Source organism: Homo sapiens, chromosome X (assembly GCF_000001405.40).
Source record: "Homo sapiens chromosome X, GRCh38.p14 Primary Assembly".
NCBI classification, from domain to species: domain Eukaryota; kingdom Metazoa; phylum Chordata; class Mammalia; order Primates; family Hominidae; genus Homo; species Homo sapiens.
In genome coordinates this window covers 48892878-48903154 of record NC_000023.11, presented here as the reverse complement: position 1 = coordinate 48903154, position 10277 = coordinate 48892878, and the positions used below count along the sequence as shown (strand labels likewise).

Genomic DNA, 10277 nt, shown 5'->3' with positions numbered 1-10277 from the left:
GCACTCAGGTATGGTGGGCAGGATCACCAGAAAGCTTTTATTTTAACCCAGGGCCAGGGAGGCCGAAGCTTCAATCCTGCTGCTTGGTTCGGGAGGCCTCTGCATTGGCCCGGAGCACAGCCCCTGGGGATGGATACGGCCGCTGCTGGAAGAGGGGCCCAGCTGCTGTGGTGTCAGCGCCAGTCTTGGCCTCATTCCGCTTGGGGAGTCCTGTTGACCACGTGCCCCTGCCGGTGAAAGAGTCAGGGGATGGGGATGGGTGATGTGGCGGACACAGCCCACCTGGTCCCAATGAGGAATGGAGGAAGGAGGCCGGAGGATGGTGTCCACGTACTGAGTCAAGAGGGGTTGTCACTTACCGGGGGGCGTCTGAGTATGAGCTAGGGTCCATGGGGTCTAACTCTTCATCCTTTCGGCTTACTGCTGTGGAAGTGGCAGGGCAAAGTCTTCAATAGAGGCACCAGGATCCCCTGATCACTGAGCCCCACCCCACAAGAAGAAATGAAGCCCCTGGCTGCCATGTACCACAGCACCCTCCTCTAGCCCCAGGTCCAGGCATCTTTTTGAGGGAAGGCTTCCTCACGCAGTGCACCCTGCACCTTGTTGGTCTCACCGAGCCCCATTCTGCCCAGCTTACCCTTCTTGCTCTTGGGATAGGGAGCCAGCTCCTCCCGGCGATGGTGGCGCCGTTCTTTGCCCTCTTCCCGGTCTGCCTTGTCATACCCGCGGTCCCGATCCCGTTCCCTGTCTCGCTCTCTCTCTCTGTCTACCTTGTCATAGCCACGCTCTCGATCCCTGTCAGACTTGTCGTGGCCCCGGTCTGACTTGTCGTGGCCCCTGTCTAGTTTCTCATGGCTGCGGTCCGACTTGTCATGGCCCCTGTCCGACTTGTCATGGCTCCGGTCCAACTTTTCTTCAGCATCTGGGGACACAAGTCTTGAAGTGACCTCTTGCCACCCCAGGACCCAGCAGCCTCTGCCTTCAACAACCTCCCTTGCCTGAGGCTGGGCCCGCCTGGTCTCACCTGCCCCTCTGATCCACTATCATTCTACTTGGCCTCTCCGTGAGAACTGCTAAGATCACTCAAGGCACGCTTGTACCTGCCAACTCACCTGCATTACTGCTTCTGAGCTTCTTGGCCGATTTGGTAACCACGGAGTTGGGGTCATGTGGGGAGAGCCAGGATACAAGGTCTGTGTCTGCATTCCAGTAGTAAGGGAGCCCGCTGTGGGGCCGCAGGAAAGAAGTGTCAGCACAGATGTCCTTGCCTTGGATCCTCAACTCTTGTCTCCCCAGTCTCTGCCTATACCTGCCCCATGTCAGGACCCCACAGGCAGGATCCCCAGAATCTCTTCTCCTGAAGAGAAAACACTGTCAGCTGGGCGTGGTGGCTCATGCCTGTAATCCCAGCACTTTGGGAGGCCGAGGCAGGCGGATCACCTGAGGTCAGGAGTTCGGGACCAGCCTGACCAATATGATGAAACCCCATCTCTACAAAAAATACAAAAATTAGCTGGGTGTGGTGGTGTGCACCTGTAATCCCAGCTACCTGGGAGGCTGAGACAGGAGAATCGCTTGAACCCACGAGGCGGAGGTTGCCATAAGCCGAGATCACACCATTGCACTCCAGCCCGGGCTACAAGAGTGAAACTCCGTTTCAAAAAAGAGAGAAAAGACAGTCTTCCAACCCCAGAGGAGCCAGGCCCCAGCAGGCAGCAACTTGAGTCCTGCAGATACCTAATGCCAACACCCTCCACCCGAGGCTCCCTCCCTTGTGTCCCCCTAAACCTCACAACCAAGGTCAGCACAGGAAGGGTGAAGCCAGAAGTTAGCTCCCCCTCACCCAGGCTCACCAGGAAGGGTCGAACACCTTGTACCAGCTTGGTGGTAGGCCCTCCAACCTGGTGGCCTCGTAGTCCACAGGATCATCGTCATAGTCCTCGGCAATGATCTCTTCCTCTGGTTCTGGTAGAACAAGGTGGGGATGAGGAGAGCAGATAAGGACCAGGGGACCTCATCCTACATGTAGAGCCTAGAGACACGCACTCACATTCACACAAGCCACACATAAAAGACACGTGTGTGTGTGTGCCGGGAAGAATATGAAGTATCTTTCACATTCCAAATCCAACTCTCTATATTAGGAGGTTTACAAAAAAAGGTTACCTAAATCTGTGTCTGGGTTCAGATGATGAGTTCTACTGTTAGCCAAAGCTATCTGGTTTCAGAGTTGATAGGGATTCATCAAAAAATTTACTCATCTTGGCCAGGCGTGATGGCTCATGCCTGTAATCCCAGCACTTTAGGAGGCCAAAGTGGGTGGATCACGAGGTCAGGAGTTCAAGACCAGCCTGGCCAAGATGGTGAAAACCCGTCTGTGAGACTAGCCTGGTCAACATAGTGAGACCCCTGTCTCTACAAAAAAAAAAAATTAGCTGGGCACAGTGGCACACGTCTGTAGTCCCAACTACTCAGGAGGCTGAGGCAGGAGGCTCATTTGAGCCCAGGACTTTGAGCTTGCAGTGAGCTATTATCGTGCCACTGCACTCCAGCCTGGGCAACAGAGTGAGACCCTGTCTCTAAACAAATAATAAATAATATATATACCATAGGCACAGGTCATTCAATAGGCTTAAAAGAAAATCCAGCCTGGCCAACATGGTGAAACCCCATCTCTACTAAAAAATACAAAAATTAGCCAGGCACAGTGGAGCACGCCTGTGGTCCTAGCTACTCGGGAGGCTGAGGCAGGAGAATCGCTTGAACCCGGGAGGCAGAGGTTGCAGTGGGCCAAGACTGCACCACTGCACTCCAGCCTAGGTGACAGAGCGAGACTCTCTCAAAAAAAAAAAAAAAAAAAAAAAAAAAAAGTAAATCAATGATCATTGCCAGTTTTATTTTTTTGAGATGGAGTCTTTCTCTGTTGCCCAGGCTGGAGTGCAGTGGCATGATCTCGGCTCACTGCAAGCTCCGCCTTCCGGGTTCACACCATTCTCCTGCCTCAGCCTCCCGAGTAGCTGGGACTACAGGCATCTGGCACCACGCCCGGCTAAGTTTTTTGTATTTTTATTAGAGATGGGGTTTCACCCTGTTAGCCAGAATGGTCTCGATCTCCTGACCTCGTGATCCGTCCACCTCCGCCTCCCAAAGCGCTGAGATTACAGGCATGAGGCACCCTGCCCGGCCTGGGATCATTGACAATTTTATTAACCACAAGGTCTATACCTTGCACACAGTAGGCTTGTAATAGATGTCAGTTATCAATAAGGAGAAGATATATTTTCCAGTGCCTGGCACACTATAGCCCCAAATAGATGCCAGTTTTTAGTATTACTGATAATAAGGTGTGATTTGCAGCCAGAGCACAGTAGGCCTAAATGATAGATCCTCACTGCAACTACGCTTGGCACACAGGAGACAGCAGTAGAGGTTAGCAGTACTTCCTATTAGATACTATGTCATCACCCCCATAGAGTAATCCATGGGATTTAACTTGGCATACAGTAGGCCCCAAATAGGCATTAGGTGGTCAGTATTATTTTGTTGTTTTTTTTGGATTTTTTTCAGACAGGGTCTCCATGTGTCGGCCAGGCTGGAGTGCAGTGGCACAATCTCGGCTCACTGCACCCTTGACATCCTAGGCTCAAGAGATCCTCTCACCTCAGCCTCCCAAGTAGCTGGGACTACAGGCATGCACCACAACACACGATTAATTTTTGTATTTTTTGTAAAGACGGGGTTTTGCCATGTTGCTCAGGCTAATCTCTTAATCCCTAAACTCAAGCAATCTACCCGCCTCAGCCTCCTAAAGTGCTGGGAATGCCAGCTTGAGCCGCCACGCCCAGCCAGTCAGTATTGTTAAGAATGAAATATCTGCCGGGCACAGTGGCTTATGCCTGTAATCCCAACCCTTTGGAAAGCCAAGGGTGGGGGGTGGATCACCTGAGGTCAGGAGTTAGAGGCCAGCCTAGCCAACATGGTGAAACCCGTCTCTACTAAAAATGCAAAAATCAGCCGGGTGTGGTATCACGTGCCTGTAATCCCAGCTACTTGGGAGGCTGAGACAGGAAAATCGCTTGAGCCCGGGAGGCGGAGGTTGCAGTGAGACGAGATCACGCCACAGCACTCCAGCCTGGGCGACAGACCGAGACTCTGTCTCAAAAAAAAAAAAAAAAAAATTGCCAGGTGTGGTGGGGCGGGGCGTGCCTGTAGTCCCAACTACTCGGGAAGTTAAGGCAGGAGAATCGCTTGAACCTGGAAGGCGGAGGTTTTAGTGAGCCGAGATCGCGCCACTGCACTCCAGCCTGGGTGCACAATAAGACTCTGCCTCAAAAAAAAAAAAAAAAAAAAAAAAAAAAAAAAAAAAAAAGAATGAAATATCTATTCCCCCAACCCCCTCCACTTGACACGCGGTAGGGATGGATGTCAGGAATCCACATTGTTAACAACGAAAAATGCCTGCCACCCCATTGCTTGGTGCACAGTTGGCCCATGCTAGGTATCAAGCGTCAGTATCAACAACAAAAGTGCCTGTCGAGGCTGGCACGTGTTAGGACCATCTGCTTTTAGCTGTCTCACCAGGCTCCAGATGTTTGAGGATGCCTCTCTTGGCCAAGCGGGTCTGCAGCGCAACGGGCAGCGGCATAGCTGATAGCAGACAGACCTAGGGACAGACGAACAAACTGACAAGCAGCTCAGATAAAGATTCCTATCTGGATCCCGTAACCAAGCGCCTCCCGTAAACATGTACTCATCTGACTCCGATCTACTCAAATGAACCAGTAGCTGGGTGGACAGAACATACGCACTAAAAGATGTAAGAGGTAGGTGGCAATATCATCGCAACTCCCACCAACCCTACTGTCCCCGAAACCAGGTGCTCCAGGGCCCTGTTCCTCTCCCAGGCCCAGGCTCCGCCCACAGCCTAAGAAGCCCGGCCCCTCCGCACTTCAGAAATGGGCTCATCCAGCGTCCCCATGACTGCCGGGTGGGAGAAACCAAAGCGCTGGGATGGGGGAGCAGAGGGCAGCACTTCCTCCAGCTCCAAAAGAGTGCACCCACCCCAACGTTACCAATACACTCGTGCAGGTAGTGGAAGGCTGTCACACCGCCCGTCTCTCTCGTGTCGCCGCTACGATACCTGGGCCCACACGACTCTCTTCCCAAAACACCGAATGAGACCTTCTCTCAACGAGGCCTTCACTCCCCGAGCCTGAAAGTAACTGGACTACGCTCAGGAGGCAATGAACAAATGGCAGAAACTCGATTGGCCAATGAGAGTGCGTCCTTGGCGTGACATGCGGTATAGCGACCCAATCGCTGCCCGGTAATAGGCGGAAAGCTCCGACGCCGGTGTGCGTCTACGCTGGGGGCGTGGCCTGACTGCGCGGCCAGACGCCAGCGCCATGGAGGAGTACGCTCGGGAGCCCTGGTACGGCAATGGGCACAGGCATCCGGAATATTGCTGCGACGCCAAGGCCAGCCGTGGGGGTCGGGCGGGGGAGGCATCGGCCGCACAGAGCCATGTACCAGACTCGGGGGACTCTTAACGTATCTCCCGCTACCCCCACTCGGTTCCTGTCATTCGGGCTCCGTTATGAGGGGCCACAACCAGAGAAGGTGCGGCGAAGGCCGAACCACGCCATGTTTCTCCTGACTTCGTAATCTCCTAGCCCTGTTAACGAAAAAAGACACGCTGGACGATCCATCCCGGCTAGGGGTGGTACGGTGTTGACCGGAAATCCCCAGAGTTGCCGCCAGTGGTTTTTCCCAGGTCGCCTTTGTCAGTGGGGGGCGGGGCACGGATGAACCTGTTGAGGGCCGGCGGGGACGGTGGATGCTTCCCGCGGTCGCTCTTGGTTTTTCCCAGTTGTGCCGGATTGAAAAGGGGCGGGGCATGGTTGGACGGGCTCACCGTCGGAGAAGGGGTGCGACGCGGTCCTGCTTTGCTGACAGTCTGTCTTGGCTAGTTAACACGCCTATGTCGCTTATTGAAACGTCAACTCTGCGTGTGCCAATTCATTTAATCTTTGATCACAGTAAAACCGTTGGCTGATTCCTTGGTTGGTAGACAGGGCGAAGACTAATATTTCTCCCCCTTTGCCCCATTTCTCGCTTTAATGGGGGGGTGTGTGGAAAAAGCGTGACAGAACTAGCTCATTATTATCTGAAGTGTTTGTTCCTACTTAGGAACTTCCCATTCTGGTGACTTGGTTTCTCCCAGTTAGAAAAGAGTTCGTGTGACAGGACCTGGGGGAGGGCTCACATTAACCCCGTCCTTCCCTTCCTGCTTGCAGCCCATGGCGAATTGTGGATGATTGCGGTGGAGCCTTCACTATGGGTGTCATCGGTGGCGGAGTCTTCCAGGCCATCAAGGGTTTCCGCAATGCCCCTGTTGTGAGTCCAGGCCTTCCCTGGGTTGGTGTGGGGTTAGCTATCTTGCCCACAAGGGAGGCTGCTCTGAAAACTGCTTGGAGCTGCCAGTCACGTGCACTTATTCATTCTGGTGCCCACTCACCTACTATGTGCCGAGCCTGGCTCCTGTATCTGGGATTTTGTAGGGATTGCAAACATGGCCTCTGTCTTCCACCCTCCACCCCACCCAACTGGAGCTCCTCTGTGGAAATGCTGTGTCGTTCAAAGAGTCATCACCAAATTTTAAATGTATGTGCAAAGCCAGACAGTTTTTTTTTTTTTTGAGACAGTCTTGCTCTGTTGCCCAGGCTAGAGTGCAGTGGCACGCTCTTGGCTCACTGCAACCTCTGCCTCCTGGGTTCAGGCAATTCTCCTGTCTCAGCCTCCCAAGTAGCTGGGACTACAGGCATGTGCCACCAGACCTGACGAATTTTTGTAATTTTAGTAGAAATGGGGTTTCACTATGTTGGCCAGGCTGGCCTTGAACTCTGGACCTCAGGTGATCCACCTACCTCGGCCTCCCAAAGTGCTGGGATTACAGGCGTGTGCCACTGTGCCTGGCCATGTTTTTTTTTTTTTTTTTTTTTTTGAGACAGCATCTTGCCCTGTTGCCCAGGCTGGCGTGCAGTGGCCTGATCATGGGTCACTACAGCCTCCGCCTCCCAGGCTCAAGTGATCCTCCCACCTCAGCCTCCCAAGTAGCTGGGACCACAGGACTGCGCCACCATGCCCGGCTAATTATTTATGTATGTATTTATTTATTTGTAGAGACGGGGTTTCAACGTGTTGCTTAGGCTGGTCTCTAATTCCTGAACTCAAGTGATCCACCCACCTCAGCCTCCCAAAGTGCTGGGATTACAGGTGTTAGCCACTGCGCATTTTACCTAGAGGCAGATTCTGGCTCAGAAACCCGGATAGAGGAAAATGACAGGAATTTAATTGGCAGACGGAAGACAGCCTTGAAGTTGAGAGAATTCTTTTAACATAATTCTTTTTCTCTGACCACCTCCCCTCCCAGAAGATCGCAAATGCCATGACTTTAAATGCCATCTATTAGCCAAGGTCTCTGCAATTTATATATGTAGCCCCGTCCCTCCCCTAGACTCCTGGAACTCTCCTCCCTGGATCTTTGCCCAAGTTTGTCATCCTCAAGGTCTCAGCACAGATTCCCCCTCCTTCAAGAGGCCTTTCCTGACCCCTCAGCCCCAGTCATATTTCTTCATGGCATTTCCTCTACAGTGCAGATTGCTGTCTGAAGCTCCCTTGTTTATCTACTCTTGCTCAAGATCTGTGTCTCCCACCGTTAATGTGAGCTCTGAGAGGGCAGAGAGCAGACCTACCTTGTTCATGGCTGTATCCCTGCATATGGCATGGTGCTTGGCACATATAGTAGGTACTTGTTAATCATTCACTGAATGAATGAATGAACAAATGTATGAATGAATTAGCACTTCTCAACCTAGCTCTGAGAACACCCATGTTGGGGCGCTCTCCAGGCCACTAGTTCTTGGCCACTTCTCCACATCTCTACAGCTCATACCTCTAACAGGTCTCCCATCTTCTTCCCTCTCTTAAAAGTTGGAAACGTGTCTGCCAGTGGCTTCAGCCCTGCCCTAACGCCCTTCCTTCCTTTCCCCAGGGAATTCGGCACCGGTTGAGAGGTAGTGCCAATGCTGTGAGGATCCGAGCCCCCCAGATTGGAGGTGAGGGACTTGGGGAGATAGATATAGGAGATGTCTTGGCAAAGGTGGGAGTGGTTGATCCTTTGGGTCTAGGCTGCAAGTTAGGGGTTCAGATTCTAGCCCCTGCCAGAGACTTTCTAGGGGGGTGATGTTTCCCAACAATTGAATATGGAGGGGAAGAAAGTGGGTTCTGGAGTTTAAATCTAGGTCCTGACTGTTCCCTGCCATGTGACCTTGGGCTAGTGGCTTAACCTCTCTGAACCTCACTTGTACCGTGGGGGTGGTGATAACAGTAACCACTTCATCGGTAGTTTTATAGTTTATGTAATTTACATACTACTAAGTGCTGGTTGCTATGCTAAACACTTTAATAACATTAACTAATTTAAAATTGCAGAAGTTAAATAACAGAGCACCTCGAACAGGTCCTGGCACACAGTAAGCCCTCAGTAAACATTTTAACTATCATATTAACTGGGTTTCCTAACCTATTTCCTTCTCACTGAAACCCAAATCAGAATTCCAACTCTGTGTGGTGATTATGAAGCTCAAAGTTGCTCTGTTAAAAGCCATATGAAGATAAATCTGCTTGTAAACATTTGTCAACTCCCCATAAAGATGAAGGGAATGTTGATGGTGATTATAGACGGCTTGAAGTGGGAGCTACCACAGGATGGGGACAGATAGGAAATACTCTGTGTGGGTTTGCTATCTGCCTTTGTGTCTGGGTTTTTCTCCCTGTTCTTGGCCAAAGCATTCAGGCCTTGGAAGTCCCCTGAGATGTGAATTCTCAGGATTTCCCAGGAACTAATTAGGCCTCGGTTCCACTACAGGTAGCTTCGCAGTGTGGGGGGGCCTGTTCTCCACCATCGACTGTGGCCTGGTGCGGCTTCGGGGCAAGGAGGATCCCTGGAACTCTATCACCAGTGGAGCATTGACCGGGGCTGTGCTGGCTGCCCGCAGTGAGTGACCCCTGGCCCTGGCCCCAGCCCCTTCCACCCTGTTCTGCCTGCTCTCACCTCTGTTTCTCTGCCTCCAACTCCCCCAGGTGGCCCACTGGCCATGGTGGGCTCAGCAATGATGGGGGGCATCCTGTTGGCCCTCATTGAGGGCGTTGGCATCCTCCTCACTCGCTACACAGCCCAGCAGTTCCGAAATGGTGAGTAACTGGTGGTCGGGGGAGTGGGAAATACTCCACCTGGCCTCTTCCACTCATCCTTACCCAAGTCTCCCTTCTCCAGCGCCCCCATTCCTGGAGGACCCCAGCCAGCTGCCCCCTAAGGATGGCACCCCGGCCCCAGGCTACCCCAGCTATCAGCAGTACCACTGAGGAAGCCACTGCCACCATGGGAGCTACTTCTCGGTTCCCTCCCCGATGGTCTACCTCGAAGGGAGGGCTGGCTCCCAGTTAGCCCTGGGACCCTCCAGAGAGGGTTTCTACTCTGCTCCCTAGTCCCAGGGTGGGGGTGGGGCACCCCAGCTGCCCTGACAGATGGGTCCCCTTTTTCTCTCTCAGGGCACCCCAGCCCCACACTCACATGTACGAAGTTCTCACCCCAGCTCCTTTGTGTGGCACCCTGATGAGTATTTAAAGCCCGTTTTGAAATGCCTATGTGTGGACTCCTTGAACTGCCTATGGGGCCCCTCCTTAGGATGAGGGGCAGAGCCTGCTTCAGGGACTTGGAAGCCCTAGGACTTGGAGGCCCACAGCAAGTGGGCTCTAGTAAATGTCTATGGGATGGATGAGCAGGAAGGGAGAATGAAGATGTGAATTAGGGACATGAATAAGGTTGTCTGGGGCCTGGTGATGGGTCCTAGCTGTCAGAGGAACAAGCTTGGGAAAGAAGTGAATGAACACCAGGATTGCTGGGGATGGGGGTGGTTCTGGACGTTGCACCCCTGACCCCATCCCCCCCCACACACTCCAATATCCCTGACTCCTGGTCCACAAGCCCCCGTCACCGAGGCTGGGAAATGTGGCCTCACAGGAGTCCCTTCTTTCTGGACACTCAGCACGGCATTTGTGAAGGTGATTCCCCTCCCTCCATGTGGCCTCAGGGTGGATCTGGGATGGAAGAAGGGGGCCAGGAGACCTAGCTCCTTCAAAGAAGGTGCCCTGGATCAGCCTCCCCTTCTGTCACAGAGCTGCTTTTCTGCTTTCCTCTGCTCAGTGTGGTCAAG

At 52.9% G+C, this 10277-nt stretch overlaps 2 protein-coding genes across 19 annotated transcripts, besides 4 other annotated features; one reads left to right on the top strand and one right to left on the bottom strand.

Moving 5' to 3' along the window:
• PQBP1 (polyglutamine binding protein 1) lies at window positions 12–5225 on the bottom strand. 15 transcript variants are annotated; one of them, NM_001032383.2, is made up of 7 exons: window positions 5062–5225; window positions 4579–4663; window positions 1854–1965; window positions 1113–1225; window positions 638–922; window positions 360–423; window positions 12–227 (listed from the first exon to the last, which is right to left on the bottom strand). In NM_001032383.2, exons 2-7 carry the CDS (start codon window positions 4643–4645, stop codon window positions 71–73), a joined length of 798 nt encoding a protein of 265 aa, NP_001027555.1. In that variant the 5' UTR covers window positions 4646–4663; window positions 5062–5225; the 3' UTR covers window positions 12–70. The 15 variants fall into 15 exon arrangements, with proteins under 15 accessions (NP_001027555.1, XP_016884696.1, NP_001027554.1 ...); XM_017029207.2 differs by having other exon boundaries at window positions 360–420; NM_001032382.2 differs by having other exon boundaries at window positions 5073–5225.
• Window positions 4562–4781: an enhancer, noted in NCBI's record as "active region_29617". NCBI's record gives its function as "activates an Ori minimal core promoter by ATAC-STARR-seq in GM12878 lymphoblastoid cells {active_cell/tissue: GM12878}" and the evidence as "EXISTENCE:reporter gene assay evidence [ECO:0000049][PMID:35858748]".
• Window positions 4832–5201: an enhancer, noted in NCBI's record as "active region_29616". NCBI's record gives its function as "activates an Ori minimal core promoter by ATAC-STARR-seq in GM12878 lymphoblastoid cells {active_cell/tissue: GM12878}" and the evidence as "EXISTENCE:reporter gene assay evidence [ECO:0000049][PMID:35858748]".
• On the top strand, window positions 5012–9708 carry TIMM17B (translocase of inner mitochondrial membrane 17B). 4 transcript variants are annotated; one of them, NM_001167947.2, is made up of 8 exons: window positions 5012–5088; window positions 5334–5431; window positions 6297–6396; window positions 7654–7803; window positions 8054–8117; window positions 8930–9058; window positions 9145–9255; window positions 9338–9708. In NM_001167947.2, the coding sequence occupies exons 2-8, from the start codon at window positions 5406–5408 to the stop codon at window positions 9424–9426; spliced, it is 669 nt and encodes a 222-aa protein (NP_001161419.1). In that variant the 5' UTR covers window positions 5012–5088; window positions 5334–5405; the 3' UTR covers window positions 9427–9708. The 4 variants fall into 4 exon arrangements, with proteins under 4 accessions (NP_001161419.1, NP_005825.1, NP_001382426.1 ...); NM_005834.5 differs by lacking the exon at window positions 7654–7803 and having other exon boundaries at window positions 9338–9706; NM_001395497.1 differs by lacking the exon at window positions 5012–5088 and having other exon boundaries at window positions 5387–5431; window positions 9338–9706.
• Window positions 5492–5691: an enhancer, noted in NCBI's record as "active region_29615". NCBI's record gives its function as "activates an Ori minimal core promoter by ATAC-STARR-seq in GM12878 lymphoblastoid cells {active_cell/tissue: GM12878}" and the evidence as "EXISTENCE:reporter gene assay evidence [ECO:0000049][PMID:35858748]".
• Window positions 5722–5871: an enhancer, noted in NCBI's record as "active region_29614". NCBI's record gives its function as "activates an Ori minimal core promoter by ATAC-STARR-seq in GM12878 lymphoblastoid cells {active_cell/tissue: GM12878}" and the evidence as "EXISTENCE:reporter gene assay evidence [ECO:0000049][PMID:35858748]".